Source organism: Homo sapiens, chromosome 12, assembly GCF_000001405.40.
Source record: "Homo sapiens chromosome 12, GRCh38.p14 Primary Assembly".
Taxonomy (NCBI): domain Eukaryota; kingdom Metazoa; phylum Chordata; class Mammalia; order Primates; family Hominidae; genus Homo; species Homo sapiens.
In genome coordinates this window covers 4,146,314-4,170,235 of record NC_000012.12, presented here as the reverse complement: position 1 = coordinate 4,170,235, position 23,922 = coordinate 4,146,314, and the positions used below count along the sequence as shown (strand labels likewise).

At 44.4% G+C, this 23,922-nt stretch overlaps 5 annotated features.

Annotated features, from left to right (window-relative positions):
- Nucleotides 5,361-5,530: a silencer, noted in NCBI's record as "silent region_4146". NCBI's record gives its function as "represses an Ori minimal core promoter by ATAC-STARR-seq in GM12878 lymphoblastoid cells {active_cell/tissue: GM12878}" and the evidence as "EXISTENCE:reporter gene assay evidence [ECO:0000049][PMID:35858748]".
- Nucleotides 16,221-16,814: a transcriptional cis regulatory region, noted in NCBI's record as "candidate enhancer chr12.200 targeted for multiplex CRISPR interference". NCBI's record gives its function as "positively regulates CCND2 gene expression with high confidence in K562 cells {active_cell/tissue: K562}" and the evidence as "EXISTENCE:mutant phenotype evidence [ECO:0000015][PMID:30612741]".
- Nucleotides 16,324-16,693: an enhancer, noted in NCBI's record as "active region_5821". NCBI's record gives its function as "activates an Ori minimal core promoter by ATAC-STARR-seq in GM12878 lymphoblastoid cells {active_cell/tissue: GM12878}" and the evidence as "EXISTENCE:reporter gene assay evidence [ECO:0000049][PMID:35858748]".
- Nucleotides 22,876-23,376: an enhancer, noted in NCBI's record as "H3K4me1 hESC enhancer chr12:4256026-4256526 (GRCh37/hg19 assembly coordinates)". NCBI's record gives its function as "activates a minimal SCP1, AML or CMV promoter by ChIP-STARR-seq in primed H9 embryonic stem cells {active_cell/tissue: H9 hESC(primed)}" and the evidence as "EXISTENCE:reporter gene assay evidence [ECO:0000049][PMID:30033119]".
- Nucleotides 23,792-23,891: an enhancer, noted in NCBI's record as "active region_5820". NCBI's record gives its function as "activates an Ori minimal core promoter by ATAC-STARR-seq in GM12878 lymphoblastoid cells {active_cell/tissue: GM12878}" and the evidence as "EXISTENCE:reporter gene assay evidence [ECO:0000049][PMID:35858748]".

The window sequence follows — 23,922 nt, the reverse complement described above, 5'->3', positions numbered from 1 at the left end:
TACCAGTTGTGAGAACTAGAGCAAGACAGTCACTTTCTCTCACAAAGATTATTCACTTCCCCTCAACTCTCAGGATGTTTCCACTTCCACGATGACTCTCCGCTGGTGATGTCAACTCTGACTTCAGAGGGAAAACATAGAAGCCCTCAAATGGAGCTCACAACCTACTTGCATTCCTCCTCCCTCTTCCGTCCACAGGTCTCTCCAGTCTAAGGTGATCTCTCCCCACATGTTTCAGAGTCTATCCTCTCCTGCCTTCTTAACCTTAGGGCTACTGATGCTTTTTCTCCTCTCTTATTTCTTCCACTTCCTTCTCCCTTTCTAAAGACTTCTCATAAAGAAAAAACATGTTCAAAACCTTCCCTTCATCTTGCACCATCTTCTGGTCTTTTCTTTCTCTTCCCTTCACAGCCAAACTTCCAAAGAGCTGTCCAAATGCGTCTCTTTCTTCTCAAGTTTCATTTTCTCCTCAATCCTCAGCAAGCTAGATTTCATCCTAACCACTTCCGTGAGACGGTGCCCACGAGGATCACCAAGGATCTCCGTATCACTGACTTCATGAGTACATTTCAGTCCTTAGCTTACTTGGTATCTCTGCAATATTTGACACAGCAGTCCATTTGCTCCTAGAAACAAAAGCTTTCCTGGGGTTCCATGAGACCACACTCTACTGGTTTTCCTCCTTCTTTTCTGACTTTTCTTTGATCTGCTTGCAACTTCTTCACCTCTATTCACTCCTAAAGTAAGCTCTGTGCTGGGCTGTTTTCTAGCCTCACCTTGCACTCTCTTCCTTGGTATCACAACCTCCTTCATGGCTTTATTATAAACCGCTGATGACTCCAAAATCTAGTTTTTTGGTTTTTTTTTTTGAGACACAATCTCACTCTGTTGCCCAGACTAGAGTGCAATAGTGTGATCTTGACTCACTGCAACCTCTGCCTCCTGGGCTTAAGTGGCTCTCATGCCTCAGCCTCCTGAATAGCTGGGATTACAGGCACGTGCCACCATGCCTGGCTAATTTTTTTTATTTTTAGTAGAGACGGGATTTAACCATGTTTGCCAGGCTGGTCTTGAACGCCTGACCTCAAGTGATCCGCCCGCCTCAGCCTCCCAAAGTGCTGGGATTACAGGCATGAGTCACCATGCCCGACCAAAATCTATTTTTTAACACATATTTCTTTTATTGAAATCCAATTGCCCACTAGAAATTTCCATCTGGATGTGTCTCCAGCCCCTTAACTTCAACATGGTCAAAATGGAACTCAACTTTTCCCAAAGCTGCTTTTTCTTTTTTTTTCTATCTTGTTAAATCATGCTAAAACACACTCCATTATCTAAGCCAGAAACCTGGACATCATTCTTGATTGTTCTGTTATTCCTCACATTTTTGCATTTAACCAAACACCAAGTCCTGTGATTCTATATCTGGAGTCTCTCTTGAGTGAAGCCATTTCTACCCCTCCCCCGCTGCTACCACCTGAGACCAGGCCCCTACATATCTCACCTGTGTTATCACAATCATTTTTTAAAACTGGTCTTCCTACTTACACTGCTGATCCCTTCCCATTGATTCTCCAAACTGCAACCAGAATAGTCCTCCTGAATATAAATCTGATCTTTTTTTTTAAATCCTCCAATGTCTTTTCATTGCCAGTGAATCTCCTTAACAAACCTTGGAACTTTTCTCATTCTCTGGCCTCTACCTTTGCTCACTGCTAGCTGCTTCCTACCTCATGTTTTATATCCATTCTAACCCAGTGTTCTCAAATTGGCTACCCATTGGCCCATTAAAACCCACAGGTGTGTTTTATTTGGCACATGCAGTATATTTTTAAAGTTGAGCCAACATTTAAAATCAGGGAATTTCTCATAAAAATCCAGGTTTTCAGTTTCTTTTGAAAAGTTGGAACAGGCATTAGCACCCCTCCTCCCACCCTTCTTGCATGGCCACAGTTGGTTGGAGCTGAGTACTTTAGCTCTCTAGCGCTCACAGTCCCCGGCTCCCTAGGGCCTCTGTGACGCTGAGGCTGAACATTCAGTGAACGTTGCTGTCACGGTGATTCTGTTTTCGCTGTCTGCAATACACTCATTCATTTCTCCTTGCCTGGCTAGCTCCTACTTTTCCTTGGATCTCATTTTGATCATCACTTCCCAGGGAGACCTCCCTTAAGCCCTAGGGTCTTATATACATGGTCCTATAACACAAAAGCGAAGAACCTCTCCCACACTAGGGACTTAGTATTGGCCAGGTAAAGAAGGGAGGTAGGCTCTGAGGTGGTAAAGGGAGACTGTAAGTAGAGCACAGGACGAGCCATTGATTTTGGGGACCACACCCATGTCCCTGAGCAGAAGGCTGAGGCAGGCAACCCTCACAACATGACATGCTTTCCTAGGTCGTGTTGAAAGTGGCTTCCAGTGCATTGGTCTGTCATGTATTTCTTCTGGGTGCTATTCTTATGCTTCTTATGATATGGAGAACAAAGTCAATTAAGAGTTGATTTAAGTACCTAAAAGGTACTCTGTGTTGTACTAGGAATAGGACAGGTATACATAAATAATTCACAGTCTTATCTTGAGAAGAGTACATGATCCAGTGGAGAAAACATGCACAAATACAAATAATCGGAGTAAAATTGTGAAGATAATAAAGGTGTGTATACAAGGCATAACCAGAATATGATTGCAGGGAGATTATCTCTGCTGAGGAAATCAGGGAAAGCTATTAAGAGGAAATGCATGAACTAAATGTTATGGGATTGGAAAACCCACCACAAAACAAAGCTGGAAGGAAAGCCATGAGAAGTAGCATGAGTCCATCCTAATTCTACAGTGTTAAACGAACTTATGCTAACAGAGTTTCAAAATACACAAAGCAAAATGTGATAGAACTGAAAGAAGAAATAAGTCAGTTCTACAGTTACTATTGAACATTTCAGTGCTCTTCTCCTACTAATTCATGCCCTGGAGAAATCACTCAGCCTTCTGCAGACTTAGTCTGCTCATCTCTAGAGGAGGGAGAATGCTATGTTATGCTTACGTTTTACAGTCATGGGAATGAAATGGCATGGAGGAACTTAGCAGTCTTTTAAGAGCTGTACAAATGTAAGATTTATCACTTTCCTACTATTCAAAATCAATACTTTTCTCATCATTGTACAGCAAACAAATAGGTTGATAAACTCTTGAACATTTACTTTCTGCCAGCCACTAGGCTAGACGCTGAGCTCAAGAGGTATCAGAAAACGTTAGCAGCCTGGAGTGGCTCACAGTCTAATACAGATGACAGACACTGATAATTGTATGTTATATACTTACATATTGTGTGTATATATGTATATATAATTATATATTACATATAATAGGTATTATATGTTAATATATGTTTATATACTATAAATAATAATTTGGCCAGGCGCGGTGGCTCACTCCTGTAATCCCAGCACTTTGAAAGGCCAAGGTAGGCAGATCACTTGAGGTCAGGAGTTCGAGACCAACCCGGCCAACATGGTGAAACCCCATCTCTACTAAAAATAGAAAAATTAGCTGGGCGTGGTGGTGCGCACCTGTAATTCCAGCTACTTGGGAGGCTGAGGCAAGATAATCACTTGAACCTGGGAGGCGGAGGATGCAGCAAGTCAAGATCACACCACTGTACTGAAGCCTGGGCGACAGACTGAGATTCCATCTCAAAAAACAAAAAATACTTTGGATTATTAGGAAAGCTTTAACACAGAAGGAAGCAGAGGGCACCAGGTATCACAAACACCTAGCATTTCTTCCTTTGTTGACATATTCAGATGTGAACTTCCTGGGCGCCAGGCCCATCCTGCAACTTTACAAATGGTGAGTGACACTGGCCAAGTCTCTTTGCCTGTAGAACTCATGTACTTGTGAGCTGGGTGTGTTCGGAAGGGGTTTTGGTAGGGGGAGGTGATGGTAGCACTGCAGATAATAAGTAAATAAATAAGTAAACAAAATAAGTAAACAAGATCAAATAATGACATTCCTGGAAGGAAACTGACAGGGTAATATAACAGACACTGAGCAGGGCAATTTTAGATACTACAGTTGGTGAAGGCCTCTTTGATGGAGGCCTGAAAGGTGAGGAGTCAGCTAGGTGAGTGGTGATGGTGATGGGTGTGTGTGTGTGCAGGGAAGAGGGGAAGAGAGCATTTGTGATGGGGAACCACCAGTTTGGCTATATTAGTATATTTCTATTTTCTATATTTCTATTATTTTCTATTTTCTATTCGCTATTTTCTATTGGTAGTTGGGTGACTCCAACTTGAACAAAGTGGACCCAGCACAGAATGAAGCTATGTGCAAACTTTTTAGAGGAGGGATCCCAGAGGGCAGGGACATTACGCCAGTAACCCAGATAGGAGCCCACCCTCTGGCTGGAGTCTCAGGAAAAGCAGGGAAGGAGTAGACCACCCACCTTTCCTGCAAACCCTGCACAGTTTGAGAAGTGACTTGGAGAGAGATAGAGCCACTTTCCCTTGCCTTTCTGAGCCTCACCCCCTACTCCATCTTCTCCTTGTCCCATTACCCTGAGGGTATGGGGGCATGTGCCATTCTTCCAAGAGGTACTTGCATTTAAGCCAAAAACCCTGGAAGACTGGAAACCCTGAAGCTCCCAAAGGAATTTAGCTAATGTGGGAAATTCAGACACCACTTGAAGAATCATGGTCACTATGGACACTATGTTCTCATTGGGCGCCACAGCCATGCTCCCAGTCCCAGGCAGACCGGGGGCTCTGAGGATGGTGCCTCTGGTCTGTTGGCCCCCTGGTCCCATGGCAGCTCTGAGATTCAGGTTTCCGTTGCTGCCATGAGGAGGAAATGGGGAAGAAAACGCCTTCGCCTGAATTCATGCCTTTTGGTTGTATTGGGGCTGGAGTGAGTTAGGACGGGTATGGGGGATGCGGTGGGGACGGCGGGGGGCGAGTGTGCCTGCCTGAGTACAAGCCGGGCCCGTGCGAGTGTATGTGTGCAGCTCTGTGGACGAGATTCTAGTCTGGGGGACGTTTTACATAAAGTGAGCGTTTAGCCACGTTCACTTCCTCTCCCGTCTGCCCCTGTCCCAGAATTGCAGCTTCCTTTCCTTCCACGTCGAGCCCTCCTGGCTGTCCAATGCGTCTCTCCTGGATAGAGAGAGGGGCGCGGGGAGCTGGGCTCGGGGAGCGGCCTGGGTGGAAGAGCTGGGGCACCCCTGGGCTCAGATGCCGCGCAGATGAGGTCACATCCTCTCCCTCCCGGCTCCTCCGCGCATGAAAGGCGAGAGGAGACTGAAATGCATGTGGAGCGAGTAGGGCCAGGCTTTGCTTGGCCGGGGCTGGAATGAGCTCATAGTGATGTGGGAGATCCGGGCCCACCTTCCAGCTCTCCCCGGGGCGGACGGCGAGGCTGGGACCGCGTGCGTGGCCCGCGACTGTCGGTCCCCCAGGCTCCAGGGAAGGGGACTCGGGGCGGGGAGGCCAGGACGCAGGGCGCGCGGCTCCGCTGGAAGGAGGCGAGGCCCGGGTGCCGCTTTGGGAACTGGGGGGCGGGGACTGCGGGGAAGCGAGGAGACCCCGGAGCCGAGAGGCAGGAAGAGTGAAGAGAGGAGGAGCAGGAGAAGGCGGGGTTGGGGGTTAGCGAAGGGGACGGCTCACGGCTCCAGGCCCATTCCCTGCAAGAAAAAAAAAAAAAAAAAAAAAAGGCAGCTGCGATGGTTGTTACCCAGGCAGTGAAAATGATGACAAATTCGCTGGATAGGAACGTTCTCTTGAAACGAGTGAGAAAGTGGGGGAAAGAGAGAAACTAGAGGGAATGGGAGCGTTGGTGTGTCTCACGCCCTGGGGACCAACCTGAGAATGGAAGCAAGGAGGTGAGCTTGGGACTTGAACCAAGAAGTCGCCCTCCTTGAAGATGCACAGAGACAGCCCTAGGAAGCCGCTGTCCTGGGGAGCGGAGCTGCGGAGACCAGAAGGGTGGCCTTCGCATGCCCCTAAGACAATTTGGAACATAATTTTGAAAATGACCCGTCAAGCATCTAAAATGCTTTATCATAAGTTTAAATACTTACAAATGGTGTGACTTTTGCCATATTGACATTTTATTGACATTTAAAAATATACTGTTATCTCACTATGAAATATCTCAAGTGGAATCTACTGACTTGATCTCGATCACCATCCATTTAAAAAAATGCATGTAAAAGCCCTTGAGAGCTGGAGGTTTGACATAGCTGCCTTGTCTCCTTCAGCTCCACAGAATTGTATCTAATCATATTTTTTTGGATTGAAAATATTTTATTTTCCAATCGCCTGAGAACACGAGCTCGAGACCAGCCTGGGCAACATGGCGAGACCCTGTCTCTATTTTTAAAATCCAAAAATTAGCTAGGCGTGGTGGCGCATGCCTGTAGTCCTAGCTACTCGGGATGCTGAGGATCGCTTGTGCCCAGGAGGTGAAGGCTGCAGTGAACTGTGATTGTGTCACTGCACTTCAGCCTGGGTGACAGAGTGAGACCCTGTCTCAAAAAAAAAAAAAAGAAAAAATATTTTATTTTATTCATTTTGTTATGTTTCTCTGCCACAAAAATGTGTGTTTATATTGGAATAAATTTTTCTTTGACTTCACATAATATTCATACTTTTATAAATAATTACTTAATAAAAGATAAAATTTTACCACAAAAGTATTTTCAATTAGGCCATATGTCCATGGATGAATATTACTTACATGATTCAAGATCAATTTCATTCTGATTTTTCTTTTTTTTTTTTTGAGACAGAGTCTCGCTCTGTCGCCCAGGCTGGAGTGCAGTGGGTGGTCTCGGCTCACTGCAAGCTCCGCCTCCTGGGTTCACACCTTTCTCCTGCCTCAGCCTCCCGAGTAGCTGGGACTACAGGCGCCAGCCACCACGCCCAGCTAATTTTTTGTATTTTTAGTAGAGACGGGGTTTCACCGTGTTAGCCAGGATGGTCTCGATCTCCTGACCTCGTGATCCACCCGCTTTGGCCTCCCAAAGTGCTGGGATTACAGGCGTGAGCCACCGCGACTGGCCTGATTTTTCATTTTTATGGATACTTTGTTCACATTAAAAGTAGATGGCAAGAGAAGTTTTACAATGGCAATGTCATCCAATTCTTTGAACTACTTCCAAATTATTTGCTGAAAAATCACATGGTGATGTATCATCAAAACTATTTTTTTGTCAGTTGATAATACATCAACTGATAACTTGAGTCCTTTTTCAGTATGTTGAAAACAAAGAAATAAAAGTCATTTGACTTACAAATGATTTGTTACTCAGGTAATAGTGTCATTCTTTCCCATTTCTGGCAATTCAACTAAGAAGGCTTTACCCAGGCAGGGCACGGTGGCTCACGCTGTAATCCCAGCACTTTGGGAGGCTGAGGCAGGCGGATCATGAGGTCAGGAGATCGAGACCATCCCGGCCAACATGGTGAAACCCTGTCTCTACTAAAAATACAAAAATTAGCCGGGCATGGTGGTGTGTGTCTGTAATCCCAGTTACTTGGGAGGCTGAGACAGGAGAATCCCTTGAACCGGGGAGGCAGAGGTTGCAGTGAGCTGAGATCGCACCACTGCACTCCAGCCTGGGCAACAGAGCAAGACCCCATCTCAAAAAAAAAAAAAGGCTTTACCCAGGCATATTAAATGGCTTTTAATTATACCTGTCACTCTTTCACTTAAAGGCAGCTTGTTTAACCAGATGTTCTCAGAAAGGTTTAGGGAAAATAGAAATATTCATTAATTTTAATTATATCTTTGTATTAACATGCTTTTATCAATTGCTTTAAATATATATTTCATAAAATCCTTAGTGGTACAAATTTGTTTCACTCAATTTGTGAAAAATATTTAATGGATAGCCAAGCAGCCAAGTTAGACTTAACTTCTGTCAGAAAGAGCCTGCCTTCCTTTTTCAATTCAAAGAAATGTGTTCATAGGAAGGAACCTTTTTGACAACCTTGTCAAGGAGGCTTGCCATGCATTCGTCACCTGGGGGGATATGGAGGCAGCACCTTCCATATTCCCAGTGAAGCTCTCTGGGCTGTGGTCTCATGGGACTGTCTCCCAGAAGCTACACAACCTTTCACAAGAGTGAGATGGAAGAGGTCATTGCATAAACATTGTCATCCTTCCACCTTTGTTCTACAGCATCACTAAATTGAAAACTCCCATCATAGGCCAAATTACCCCATTTCTAAGGCCAAGCTTTGCCCTTAACAGAAATATGTATAAACCAGAAAGGGAAGCCCCAACCTCACTAACGCTGTACCCGAAAGGGGGTAAGTTTAACGGATGATGTGTTGCCCTGACAATTAGCTGAGAGAAAAAGTGGAATGGAGTAAGGAGAATGGAGTAAGGGACTTTGGAGTAAGGGGCTTTGGAATGGAGTAAGGAGAATGGAGTAAGGGATTTGGCCAAAGGTGACCTTCACCTGCTATTTGTCTCAACTGTTTTCTGGGTCTGGCTACTTTGATAATATAAGTGAGCATCAGGATGACAGAAGGAAAGCCTTCCAGACAGGAAACTATGGCCACCCTGTTCTCTGTCCTATGGGTTGACAGACCGTATGATCCTGGAATATCTCTCCACTGGGTTTCACTGCAGAGCAGGATTAGATGGCAGGCCAGGCAAGCTATTGGGAGGGGCAACATTCTGTAGGGGTTTTAAAACATGAATGTCATGTACCAAAATAAAAACTTTAAAACAAATAGGTGGCTGGGCATGGTGGCTTATGCCTGTAATCCCAGCACTTTGGGAGGCTGAGGCAGGCAGATCACCTGAGGTCAGTAGTTCGAGACCAGCTGGCCAACATGGTGAAACCCTATCTCTACTGAAAATACGAAAATTAGCTGGGCACGGTGGCACATGCCTGTAGTCCCAACTACTCAGGAGGCTGAAGCAGGAGAATCACTTGAACCCAGGAGGTGGAGGTTGCAGTGAGCCGAGATCACACCACTGCACTCCAGCCTGGGCGACAGAGCGAGACTCTGTCTCAAAAAAACAAAAAAACAAAACAAAACAAAACAAAAAAACAAAAACAAAACAAACACAATAACACCTCTTACAGACAGCAGTATACATGATTAGAATACTTTGATAAGCTACTTGATGGGTATTTGTGTAGGTAAAACACCAAGGGACGTACTCAGGTAATAACTAATAATGCCTTCATTAATTATTTAGTTCTTGTTGAATGGGGGTATGCAAGCATGGGCCAGAGCTGAATTGTTCAGGGCCATGAATAGCATCTTTACTGCATGCCCCCCAGGAAGCACCTAGCATCTCTAAACAAATGTTGAACATCTTCTGGAGAAAATGTGATCTTATCTATTCTTACCAAGCAGTAGCATTTCAGAGCAGATTCTAACATCTGCTAGGAAGGTCTGTAGCCCGAATGAGTCAATTCAGTTCTCAGTCAGTTATTAGTAAGCTTATGTGGCATGATTTAAATTGTGGCATCTAATATGTCTGCATCAGTTATCAAGGTAGAATTTTGATATGCATCTGTCTGAATCTGGTATTTAGATCTCTATTAAGAGCTAGAGCAGGAAAAGGGGGTTTTATATATTTAGTCCCCACATTAGTTTTCTAGGGTTACCATAACAAATTACTACAAAATGATTGACTTTAACAGCAGAAGTGTATTCTTTCACAGATGTGGAGGCCAGAAGTCTGAAACTGAAGTGTAAGCAGGGCCACACTCCCTCTGAGGGCTCCTTCCTTGCATCTTCCAGTTTCTCTTGGTGGCTTCTGTTGTTCTCCGGTTTGTGGCAGCATCACTCCAATCTCTGCCTCAGTCTTCCCATGGCCTTCTTCCTTGTGTCTCTTCCTCTGTGTCTGTGTGTCTCAAATCTCCTTCTCCTTTTTCTTGTGACATCAGCTGTTGGATTTTAGGGTGCATTGCAAATCTAGGAAGATCTTATCTGGAGATCCTTAACTTAATCACATCTACAAGGAACCTATTTCCAAATAAGATCAGGGTTGAGGTTCGGACATATTTTTCTGGGAGACACCATCCAGCCCATTACACTCCCTAGACTCAAACATCTCATTAATGAGCAGAGACTACTGAGAAATGCATAATGACTGTCATTTGTGAAGCACATGACATGTGTACATTGAGGCTTTGGATGTGTCCAGAATGTAGGCTGCTAGGCATTTGCAATTGGGACACTCAGGGCTTTGACCTTGGCAGTTGGTAGCAGTGCTTGCATCATGCTGTGTAACTTGTTTTGACTGCTGTGCTTTTTAAAAAAAATTATCTTTTTTTGTTTTTGTGGAGATGGGGGTCTCACTATGTTGCCCGGGCTGGTCTCAAACTCTTGGCCTCAAGCAGTCTTCCTGCCTTGGCCCCCAAAGTGCTGGGATTACAGGAGTGAAAAAAATTATCTTTTTATTGACTTACACATATCATAGGTGGATAGTTTGATAAGTTGTTTTTTGTTTGTTTGTTTTTTGTTTTTTTTGAGACAGAGTCTCACTCTATTGCCCAAGCTGGAGTGCAGTGGCATGATCTTGGCTCACCGCAACCTCCGCCTCCCCAGTTTAAACGAGTCTCCTGCCTCAGCCTCCCGAGTAGCTGGGACTACAGGCGCATGCCACCATGCCCAGCTAATTTCTGTATTTTTAGTAGAGACGGGGTTTCACCATGTTGGCCAGGATGGTCTCGATCTCGTGACCTCGTGATCCGCCTGCCTCAGCCTCCCAATGTGCTGGGATTACAGGCGTGAACGACCATGCCCAGTCTAGTTTGATGCATTTTTACAAACAGAACACTTATGTAACCAGCACCCAAATCAAGAAATAGAACGTTACCAGCATCCCAGAAGCCTTCCGTGCCAGTCACAACCTGCCAACTAATAGCCTGAGTTCTAATAGCATAGGATTTGTTTTTGCTTGCTTTTATAATTTATATAAATGTAATCATACAGTATAAACTTCTCTGTGTCTGAATTCTTTCACTCAATCTTATATTGCTGGGTATGGTGGCATGCAGCTATAGTCCCAGCTACTCAGGAGGCTGAGGCTTGAGCCCAGGAATTCTAGGCTGCAGTGAGCTATGGTTGCAACATTGCACCTCAGCCCTGGGCAACAGAGCAAGACCCTGTCTCAAATAAAAAAAGATGAATGAGAACATTTCAGTATACAGTATAAGCTTCTTAAGTATTAGGGAGCAGCACAATTTTACTGTGTTCCTTGTTTTCAAGCCAGGAGGTCAGGACTTTAAACCGAGGCTCTGCATATTTTTCAGAATAGCAGTGAGTGTTAGTGGCAGGTGTCTCTAAGTGGTATAAGATAAACTATCCCCAAGTTCTGCTCTTCTTTTGTGTTGCTATAAATTATCTTCAGGGCAGAGAGAGGGAACTATAGAAGAACTAAGTTAATTCCTGTAACTTGCCCACAGTTTCAAAAGAAACGCCCACCATGTGACTTCAAATGGTTCTGGAATTGTTACTGATATAAACTCTTAACTATTTTTCTAAATGTTGAGGACCCACATTGTGGCTTCACCCACAAAAGGATAGTAGGTTTTATTATGAAGAAAACAAGTAAAAAAGAACGACGTTTCTCATCACAGAGAGAATGGCACCTTCTCAGTTTGTGGTAGAGAGATCTATATTATCAAAAACCCAAGACTAATTGTTCTTACAGAGGGGAATAAAGATGAGGAACACATTTCAGAGAAGTCTATAACAGAAACAGTGTCTGAATTCCAGTGAGGTCCAATAGAGGAAGAGAAGCTAGATTTCAAAAAAAAAAAAAAAAAAAAAAACAGAATGAGTTTTTTTAGGAGTAGCCAGCATCCAGGAAAATTTGAGAAGTCCTCCTAGATCTGCCTAGAGCAGGGCTGCTCAGTAAGAACATTGTAAAAACTATGGGATGGCACCTGAATATTCCAAAGAATAAATCCTTTTTTTTTTTTTTTTGAGACAGAGTTTCACTGTTGTCACCCAGGCTGGAGTGCAATGGCACAATCTCCACTCACTGCTCACCTCTGCCTCCCAGGTTCAAGCGATTCTCCAGCCCCAGTAGCTGGAATTATAGGCACCTGCCACCACGCCTGGCTAATATTTGTATTTTTAGTAGAGAGGGGGTTTCACCATGTTGGTCAGGCTGGTCTCAAACTCCTGACCTCCGGTGATCTGCCGTCCACCGCCTCCCAAAGTGCTGGGATTACAGGCATGAGCCACCTCACCTGGCCAAGAGTAAATCCTTTTTTTTTTTTTTGAGATGGAGTTTCACTCTCGTTACCCAAGCTGGAGTGTAATGGTGCGATCTTGGCTCACTGCAACCTCCGCCTCCCGGGTTCAAGCTATTCTCCTGTCTCAGACTCCTGAGTAGCTGGGATTACAGGCATGCGCCACCACGCTCAGTGAATTTTTGTATTTTTAGTAGAGACGGGGTTTCTCCATGTTGGTCAGGCTGGTCTCGAACTCCCGACCTCAGGTGATCCCCACACCTCGGCCTCCCAAAGTGCTGGGATTACAGGTGTGAGCCACCACGCCCGGCCGTATAAAACCTTTTATAAGATAAATTTCAAAGAAATGAAAATCTAAAATGAAATTCTCTTGCCCTTATCAGTTAAAGTCCAAAATCCCCAAATTTAAATCCTTTCAGAGGTGAGAGATCAAAGATATGAAAATCTAAAATCAAAGTCCAAAATCTGAAGTTTTAAAATTAAGCTGAAGTTTGAATATATTCAAACTTCGGATCCTGCTCAGTCTCACAATGGGATGATAACTAAAGTGCTTACAAAAGTGTAGACAGATTTAGAATGAAAGACCAGAAAGATCAGTGTAAAATACTAGAAAAAAAAATCATTGTGTGAACTTTCTTGTGACCCAGGAAATGCCTGTGCCTAAGGGAATACCTGAGAAATTCATGGAATTTGGTCTCTAAAGGCAAGCACAGGAAAGACGAGATATATTAAAGTGTAGCCAGAGAGGACAAAAACAGAACAAGTCCAGGCCTGGGATCAGTGCTAGACAGATGGAAGACCTCCTGGTGGGAGTTTCCAGCTCAACAAGGTGAAGATGGGCAAGGCTTGGCTGAACAGCGATTGCTTTGAACAGACACAGAATTAATGATTTTATATCTCTCATTATGGGAAATCCCATCAGAAAAAAATCTAGAGGATTATGTTAAGAAAAAACAATTATTGGAAAATAAAACTGGTTTTATATGAAATAAATGGACTGACTTGAACGAAAGGTTAAACTGACACAAAACTGGGCCTTCCTGAAAGAAATAGGGGAAAGTCAAGAGAAATAAAACACTAGAACAATATTCCACAATTGCAGAAAAAGATGTCACAAGAATAAATAGTATTCAAGGGATTGGCACTTTTCAAAATCTATGACAGTGTCTTGAGAAGTAAATGCAGAGAGATTGGTCCTTACCAGGCCCCTAGGGCCACAGATTTCAGAAGCACACATACAGCTTTAGTTCAGGATTCTGCCAAAGGGATCCCCTAGTTGGAGCAAATGGGGGATGAAGGGGAAATCTTTCTCATGGAGACAGTTTTCACAGGCCTAAGCACCTCCACAGCAAAAGGCAATGGAATGATACCAAAGATGCTGCCCTGGGGCTCAAAAGGAAATGGATATAAAGAGGTTTGACTATTCTAATTGCAAAAGAAAGAAAGGCACCTCAAGCAAGAAGTCCTGGTGGCTGAAGCTGCCTTTGTTGAAATTTGCTAAAGTTAGCCTGAAGGTGGTGAAGTCTTAAATGCCACTGAGAGGAAACCATATGTGCAGACCTCCCCACACCTCCCAACACGCACTTGCATAACGGCAAAGTAATCTCAAGGGGAGCTCTGACCTTACTGGGTTTAGGGAGACTCCAGAACCCAGTCTAACTGGCATCCTGGCAGAATGGAAATGATTTTCTTGATCAATGTCTTTCTCTGACATCCTCTGGGTCTCTCCTATGGTTGGCAGTACTCCTATAAGGGTTTGGGAATACAGTTTTGATAGTCAGAACTGCTCCAAGAGCTAGGGATTTGTTGAGTGTGGAGCTGACAAAGCGTTACTCTCTTGGGTTCAACTCGTTAGCTGTTTGGATGCTTTTAAGGTGAGGTTTATGAGAGACTTGGCCACCAGCACTTACAAAGTACAAAAGAAACCGCACTCATTTCCACCAGAGAAAGGCCAGACTGCGGCCACTGAAGGAACCTAACTCTACCCAGACACTCAGAACACCCTGACCTGATCGTGAAAAGGCATCGGAAAACCCAAACAAGGAACAACTCACAAAAAAGGAGGGAAGACTGTACTCAAAAAAAAGTCAGGCCGGGTGTGGTGGCTCACGCCTGTAATCCCAGCACTTTGGGAGGCTGAGGCAGGCAGATCACAAGATTAAGAGATCAAGACCATCCTGGACAACATGGTGAAACCCCGTCTCTACTAAAAATACAAAAAAATTAGCTGGGCGTGGTAGCGCATGCCTGTAGTCCCAGATACGTGGCCAGCTGAGGCAGGAGAATAGCTTGAATGTGGAAGGTGGAGGTTGCAGTGAGCCAAGATCGTGCCACCACACTCCAGCCTGGGCGACAGAGCAAGACTCCGTCTCAAAAAAAAAAAAAAAAAAAAAAGTCATAAGAGGAAAAGAAAGACTGTGGAAATCTTCCAGATCTGCACCATCCAAGATGGTAGCCACTAGCCACATGAGCACGTGTCAAACCCCCTCATTTCATAGCTAAGGAAATTGAAATGAAGATCTAGAAAGGTTAAGTAATTACCCAAGAAGGTAGAAGTATTTAAAAAAATTAATTGACAAAATTTTTAATCAGTTTTAGATTTACAGAAAAATTGAGTGGAAAGTACAGAGAGTTCCCATATGCCATCCCTCCCAATTTCCCCTATTATTAACATCTTGCACTGGTTTGGCACATTTCTTATAATTGATGAGCTAATATTGCTGCATTATTGTTAACTAAAATCGGTGGTTTACATCAGGGTTCACTCCTGTTGTTCATTTTATGATTTTTGACAAATGTATGGTGACATATACACCATTACAGTATCTAACGGCATAGTTTCACTGCCTTCAAAATCCCCTATGCCCTCTATTCATCTCTCACCCCTCCCCACAAATCCCCAGAAAATCTTTTAACTGTAGTTTTGCCTTTTCCTGAATGTCCTACAGCTGGAACCATACAGTATGTAAACTTTCAGATTAGCTTCTTTCATTTCACAGCATGCATTTGAGGTTCCTTCCTGTCTTTTCGTGGTTTGACAGCTCATTTCTTTTCAGAGTTGAATAATACTCCATTATGTGGATGCACCATTGTTGGTTGCTCCATTCACCTGCTGAAGGATATCTTGGTTATTTCCAAGGTTTGGCAATTAAGAATAAAGCTGCTGGCTGGGCACGGTGGCCCTCACCTGTAATCCCAGCACTCTGGGAGGCCGAGGCAGGTGCATCACCTGAGGTCAAGAGTTCAAGACCAGCCTGGCCAACATGGCGAAACCCCTGCTAAAAATGCAAAAACTAGCCGGGCATGGTGGTGGGCACCTGTAATCCCAGCTACTCGGGCAGCTGAGGCAGGAGAATCGCTTGAACCCAGGAAGCAGAGGTTGTAGTGAGCCAAGGTCGTGCCGTTGCTCTCCAGCCTGGGCGATAGAGCAAGACTCCATCTCAAAACAAAACAAAAGAAAACAAAACAACAAGCTGCTATAAATATCTGTGTGCAGGTTTTTGTGTGGACATAAATACCAAGGAGTTCAATCAGTTGTTGGCTTGTGTGGTAAAAGTGCATTTAGTTTTGTGAAAAACTGCCAAACTTGTCTTCCAAAGTGACTGTACCATTTTGCATCCCTGCTAGCAATGAATGAAAGTTCCTGTTGCTTCACATTCTGTCCAGCATTTGGTGTTTTCTATGTTCTGGAGCTGGCCATTCTAATAGCGTGTAATGGTGTCTTATCATTGTATTAATTTGCATTTCCCTGATGACATATGATGTTGAACATCTTTTCATGTGCTTATTTGCCATCTGTGTATCTTCTTTGGTGAGATATATTCAGTCTTTTTTTTTTTTTTTTTAGAGGCGGTGTCTTGCTATGTTGCCCAGGCTGGTCTCAAACTCCTGGGCTCAAGCAACCCTCCCGCCTCAGCCTCCCAAAGCGCTGGGACTACAGGTGAATCACCACACCCAGCCTATGCAAAGTCTTTGGTCTTTTTTAAAAATCAGATCGATTGTTTATCTCATTTAATTTTCACAACAGCCTTCTGAAGTTGCCCTGAGATGGAATATTATCCCAATTTTATAGGTAGCAGGGGGACCGGCGGGGCGCAGAGTTAAATGGCTTGCCCAAGCTCATAAGTAGACACACCTAGATGGCTGGCCTGCTGCTTCCTGGTTCTGTTCTCCTTTGGCTCATTCACCAGGTGGCCTATCCCCAGCCCCCACCCAGTTTTGTTGAAAGCAGCTGAGGACAAGATAGCAAAGTTCTGATAATCCCAGGCAGGCTTCCTGGAATCAGTGTGGGGGAGCTGGGGAACACCCCAGAATAGTGCCAAGACCTTGCTGAGGACTCCACCCACAGGAAATCCCCTGGTCTGTGGCGCCTCTGATGACAGATTTGACCAACTGCCCTGAAGTGTGTGATACAAGGCCTGCTCAGGACTGTTTCCTGGGTGCTTCTTGGGGCCAGGCCATGGGCTGGACGTGAGACAGTGGGTGGAAGTGGGGTGGAAATTCTACTAATTGCTATGGCTTTTGCTTCTGGGGAATTCCACTCTCACCCCATAGCCCTCTGCAGCCATCACAGTAAGCCTGCTTTCTTTAAAAGTAGGAAGTCACTGACACCTGTCACCCTCTATGTCTTAATTTTCCCCATTTCTTTCCCCATCGAACTCAGGAACCATAATCAAGAATTATCATGAAAGACCCTGTTAGTTCCAGTTTCCAGATGAGTAGAAAGTATCGCAATTTTTTGTTATGTTTTAATTAATTGTTAAGTATCTAAACAACGTAAAACTGATTCTCCCTGTAAAACTTGGACCTTACACATAAAGTCCCATAGGACCAGGCCGGGCGCAGTGGCTCACACCTGTAATCCCAGCACTTTAGGAGGCTGAGGCGGGTGCATCACCTGAGGTGAGGAGTCCAAGACCAGCCTGGCCAACATGGTGAAACCCTGTCTCTACTAAAAGTACAAAAATTAGCCGGGCATGATGGCAGGCACCTCTAATCCCAGCTACTCGGGAGGCTGAGGCAGGAGAATCACTTGAACCCGGTAGGTGGAGGTTGCAGTGAGCTCAGATCGCGCCACTGCACTCCGGTCTGGGTGACAGAGGAATACCCTGTCTAAAAACAAACAAACAAAAAAAACCTCCTGCAGGATCAGACAGCACCTACTCTATCTCCTGGTAACCAGGCCTGCCTGTAAAACAGGACCAGTGGAGGTCTCTTGCTTTCCCATCTTCTCTTCCCGCTGCCCCTTCCCTGGACCTAAGGGTGCGCACAAAGGCAACAATTGTCAGGAAAATGGATCCAGAAATGTAGCAGGCTCGGGAGTCTCTCGCAAGAGAATTCTGGCGTCCCAGTTTCCAGGGACTGTGATCTGGAAAGGGAAGTGCCACTAAATGCAGAACTTTTTGTCCCAAGGGAAGGATCCAGAGGGGACCAGAGTAGGACATCATTGACCTGGATTTAAGGGCAATGTTGCTGGGATCCTTCTCCCCTCTCTCACTAAACTCGAAGCTGTTACCAGGTTTCCCTTTAATTTACTGACATATGGAATACAGTGTCTTTATGCATAGAGAATGAAAAGCATTGTTACAAAGGTTATTTCCCTTCACTGCATGAATAAGATCATACTGTATGTATTGTGCTTCAGCTTGCTTTTGTTCACTTAACTCTGCAGTGGGGATTTTTCCACGTAGCTCTATGTTTTTGTTTTCAACTATGGCTTAGTATCCTGTGGGTGTGATTACACTCTAGTTCAGTTAAAGATAAGCACTATTGGTTTAGTACAGGTTAGGTGCTGTAACATAATACATACATTCCTGAAAAACTTTGTATTCTGTAAAACTGCACACTAAAAATAACAGGCTAAAAATAATAGGATTGGGCAGGCCTGAGAAATCTATGCAACTCGGTAATAGAGCACTAATAAAAACAGTAATTGGTGCCTTCAGAGAAAACCTAGACAGCCCAGGCAACAATTCTACTTTGGAAAGTTGCCTCTGGGGATATTAAAACTTGCACAAAACTATAGAGTGGTACTGCTGGTTGCAGGTGCTGAGATGGTGCAGATGGAAGTGGACTCTGGGCCAGGTGGGCATAGGAGGAAGTGCAACCTGCTTCCTAGGATGAGCCTTTCTGGGAAGCAAACCCAGGTGCAGGCATGCATTTGCAATTTTCTTAAAATAGAGCTGAAAGGGCTCTTACCTAAGCAAAAGCCAAGTTGAGGGCTTTTCCCTTTCTTGTTGAAGGTTAGAATTCTACTCCTGCTACTTTAGCTCTTCTTGCTAGGAAAAAATCCATATGAACCCACCCAACTTTCACTTTATAAGCACTTAATTTCCCTATTTATTAGCTGTGGATGAGTTCTTATAGGAACATGTGTTGTAGAAGAATAGATGGTAGACTAGAACATAGTATATGCTCAGTAAATATTTGTATAGGAAAAGAGGAAAGGAAGGAAAAAGGAGAAAGAGAAAGAAAAGAGGGAAGGAGGGAGGAAGGAAGGAAGAAGAGAAGGAAGAAAGGAAAGAAAGAAAGAGGAAAGGAGGGAAAGACTAAGAATAATTTTCTTTTTTTTGGGATGGAGTTTCACTCTTGTTGCCCAGGCTGGAGTGCAGTAGCACGATCTCTGCTCACTGCAACCTCCGCCTCCCGGGTTCAAGTGATTCTCCTGCCTCAGCCTCCTGAGTAGCTGGGATTATAGGTGTGCGCCACCATGCCCAGCTAATTTTTTGTATTTTTAGTAGAGACGGGGTTTCACCATGTTGGTCAGGCTGGTCTTGAACTCCTGACCTCAGGTGATCCAGCTGCCTCAGACTCCCAAAATGCTGGGATTACAGGTGTGAGCCATTGCGCCCAGCCAAGAGTAAGAATAATTTAAGAAAATAGACAATTGGTTAAGAGTGCCTACTTGACATCTTCAAGTTCAGTCACTCCTAAATGAGAGGCCATGGTAGATCGCTGAAGGCTCTCAATGACATATTTGCTGGTCTGAGAAAAAATAAAGACTATGCATGTGGGTGGAAAACGTTTGTTGAAGGATATCTTTATTCTGAGATTATAGTTTGCTTTTTGTTATGAAAATGTCCTTTTGTCTAATATCCAGCATCCATAAGAACTTAAACAAATTTACAAGAGAAAAACAACCCCATCAAAAAATGGGCAAAGGACATGAACAGACATTTTTCAAAAGAAGACATACATGCAGCCAACAAACATATGAAAAAAAATCTCAACATCACTGATCATTAGAGAAATGCAAATCAAAAACCACAATGAGATACCATCTCACACCAGTCAGAATGGCCATTACTAAAAAGTCAGGCCAGGCGCGGTGGCTCATGCCTGTCATCCCAGCACTTTGGGAGGCCAAGGCGGGTGGATCCCTTGAGGTCGGGAGTTCGAGACCAGCCTTACCAACATGGAGAAACCCTGTCTCTACTAAAAATACAAGATTAGCCAGGTGTGGTGGCACATGTCTGTAATCCCAGCTACTTGGAGGCTGAGGCAGGAGAATCGTTTGAACCCGGGAGGCGGAGGTTGTAGTGAGCCGAGATCGCGCCATTGCTCTCCAGCCTGGGCAACAAGAGTGAAACTCTGTTTAAAAAAAAAAAAAGTCAAAAAATAACAGGTGCTGGTGAGGTTGTGGAGAAAAGGAAACACTTATACACTGTTGGTGGGACTGTAAATTAGTTCAACCATTGTGAAAAGCACTGTGGAGGTTCCTCGAAGAGCTAAAAACAGAACTACCAAATGACCCAGTAATCTCATTACTGGGTATATGCCCAGAGGAATATAAACCATTCCACCATAAAGACACATGCATGTGTATGTTCACTGCAGCACTATTCACCATAGCAAAGACATGGAATCAACCTAAATGCCCGTCAATGACAGATTGAATAAAGAAAATGTGGTACATATACATCATGCAATACTATGCAGCCATAAAAAAGAATGAGATCATGTCCTTTGCAAGAACACGGAGGAGCTGGAGGCCATTATCCTTAGCAAACTAATGCAGGAACAGAAAACCAAATACCGCATGTTCTCACTTGTAAGTGGAAGCTAAATGATGAGAACTCATGAATACAAAGAAGGACATAGATGCTGGGGTCTACTTGAGGGTGGAGGGTGGGAGAAGGGAGAGGAGCAGAAAAAATAATTATTGGATACTAGGTTTAATATCTGGGTGATAAAATAATTTCTACAACAAACCCCTGTGACATGAGTTTACCTATATAACAGACCTTCACATGTACCCCCAAACCTAAAAAAGAAGTTAAAAATAAATATATACGGCCAGGCGCGGTGGCTCACGCCTGTAATCCCAGCACTTTGGGAGGCCAAGGCGGGCGGATCACGAGTTCAGGAGATCGAGACCATCCTGGCTAACACGGTGAAACTCCGTCTCTACTAAAAATACAAAAAATTAGCCGGGCGTGGTGGCGGGCGCCTGTAGTCCCAGCTACTCCGGAGGCTGAGACAGGAGAATGGCGTGAACCCCAGGGGGGCGGAGCCTGCAGTGAGCCGAGACCGTGCCACTGCACTCCAGCCTGGGCAACAGCGAGACTCCGTCTCAAAAATAAAAAATAAAATAATAAATAAATAAATATATACATACATAAATAAAACGTCTTTCTTTGTGAAACAACAGTGAAAGCAAATAGTATTTCTTTATCTCTCTCTCTCCATACATAGATCCTTATTTGGCAAAATACAAAGTTGCCAGCCTTTTGTTGGTCCTTAAATTTGTTGTGTGTGTCGAGTTTTGCTGATCTACCAAATGGCAAAAGTCTCGAAACCACTGAGTTTCGGGCCATCTCTGATCTTCAAGCAAAATGGTCCCTAAACCATCCTGGAAAAATGGTGTCTCATCTATCCCTCAGATCCTGAACTCCTTCAGGGCTTCCCAAGGGGAAATCCTGTCCTTCAATCTTCCAGCCTCAAGGTTAAATCTATATAGGATGTTCTCTCTAAATGTAGTTCTATTTCAGAAAGAAAGGTTACTTTAAATCTTCTTTGAATTTCATGCTATGGAAGCTCCTTTCAAGTATAACTATGAATTTTTTACCATGTAAATGGGGGAAATTTGGAGGATCAAGACCCAGAGAAGGGAGTGGACCCCTGGGTCTACTGCGGAGTCTCGCTCACTAGCCCCCAGTTCTCTGAGGCTCTCTTTTGCTCTCCCTGGACTGGCTTTATGGGAACTTTACCTTCACAAATGGGAGGCCAGGGGAGAAGCTGGAGCCGAGGCTCAGGTGCCTCTCAACATGAACTTGGTCTCTATGGGCCAAGGGCACACACCCAGATTTCTCTCTGTTAAGAGGAACTGAAGCCAGGCCTGGGGTTCTCCCTAATAGGCTGTGGCCCAGGGCACTGGGCTGAGGCACTCTGGGCTGGCTGCCAAGATCTGCCACCGTCTGTGGGCTCACCCAACTATTCTTGGGGGTAGTGCTGGCAGCAGTAGTTTAATGAGATCACCTCCCTTCTGTAGGCATCCGTGTGTTCACCTGCAGTGGAAGAGGCTGATCCCATGATCTCTAAGTCTTCTTCTAGCATTAACATCCCCTGGCCCCAGCTTCACCCACCTTAACTAAAGGCTGTCATCCAGCGATGGGCTCTGATAAAAGCACAGGACTTTAAAAATCCAGTTTCAAAGTCTTGCACATGTAGAGAAAGAGAGGGAAACAGACTTCAAATGATTTATGAAGTATAAAAGCAAAGTGCAAAACAATAATATGTTACCATTTGGGGTAAAAGGGTATACAAAAAATATTTATACATATTAGTATGTATATGCAGATCTGGGCAAGGTGGTGTGTGCCTTAGTCCCAGCAGCTTGGGAGGCTGAGGTGGGAGGATTGCTTGAGTCCAGGAGCTTGAGGCTGCAGTGAGCTATGATCATGACAGAGTGAGACCCCTTCTGTACAAAAAGAAAAAGAAAGAATGTATATGTAAAGAATAATTTTTGGAGTGATACGTCTGATGTATCCTGGTAGCCTTGAGGTAAGGTGGCCGTGCTGGGGGAAAGGGATGGGAGAGAGGTTTTTCATTGTATAAACTTTTGTACATGAATTTTGAACCAATAAAATTATGAAAATCAAGTTACAAAAAGCCCTGGCTCAGCCATTTACTAACTACTCGTGTTTGGGCCAGTGATAGAAGTTCTGATTTTAGTTCCTCATCTAGAAAATGAAGATAATCGTCCCATAATGTTGTAAGTGAAAATTAAATGAGAAAATAATATATAAAAAGCTGAGCACAATGCCTGGAGCTTAATAAAGATTCGCTGAGTAGAAGCTAATTAGTTATGAGACATATAAGATTTCAGCTCCCTGTCTTGAAGAAGCTCAGAAACAAATTGGGAAGACAATGTCAGCAAGGAACAATAACCTTTGTGTAGGGCATGGAAGTTTACAAGGAGATATCTTCCTTCTTAGCCCACTTCCTCTGCACAACAGCCTGGTGCGGGGCAGTGGATGCTTTGCCATCCTTGTTTTGCAAATGAGGAAACTGGAGCTGACCTGTTTAGGGTCACACCTATGATGGCAGAACGTGTCTAGAATTCGGGTCTTATAATTTTCTGACTTGACCTCTTTGTGGTCATGCTTCCCTGGCGTGAAGGCCATTCTGCACTGGCTGTGGGGTCAGGTTGGCAGAGACGCCTGGAACCTCTCGCATGGGCAGGTGCTTGTGGCAGGCATGGGACTGAGGAAGGCTGACAGACAGCAGCCCCCCTGCAGGGGTAGAGAAGCAGTCAGTGCTTCATTCCTTGAACCCCATTCAGGGGCACTCTCCCTTACTCCCGGTCCACTATCATCATTTGCATTTCCTACATGCTGCCCCTCTCACTTCCTATTTCCACTCTGGGTGTTACATAACCAGTTTTCTCAACTTTAAAAGAGGCGTGTTGGATTAATCAGATTCTTTGAATCCTGGGATGCTAGGCTGCAAAAATATGGAACTTCCCCTTCAATGTTACTCCATGTCCAATATTACAGAGAGGAACATGGAGGGCTGGAGAATGAGAGTGATACCATCAAGGGTCAGCACTGCTTAGTACAAGGCTGACACTTGAACCCAGAGCTTCTCTCTAGGACAAGTAGCAATAGAGGTTCTCAAGGTTTTTAGCTTCGGCAAATAGCAACAGAATCTTTTCTGTGGATTCGTTTGTGTCTCTGCATACGCATATGCAGAGGGAGTTGGGGTCAACAGACAAGTGTTGGTATTAACTTGCCAGGCAGGGTGCTAAATACAAGTCATTGAAACCTCCCTAAGATTCAGAAAGGTAAACATCATTCTCCCCATACAGATGAGGAGATGGAGGTTCAGATAGCCTAAGTAAACTGCGCAGGGTCTGACAGCTGACGAGATAAAACCAGAATTTGAACCCACATCCATCTGCTTTCTTCACAATAAAGCTCAGAACTGGAAACAGAACATGAAGTTTCCCATCACACTCTCCTCACAGGTTTTGCACATGAAATCACTGTGTGGGGAGGCGAGTGGAACAGGTACCTTTTTTTGTGTCTGATCGAGACATCACGAGTCAGCCTCTGAGCCTGGGGACTGCCAGCGAAATTCCCCTTGAAGGTGAATGTACAGAGTTCCTGGATTAATGAAAGATGAAACTAAGAGCTGGTTCTCAGAATTGAGCGTGAGCCAGTGTGATCTAGGATGCTCTGAGGACCACAACTCACTTG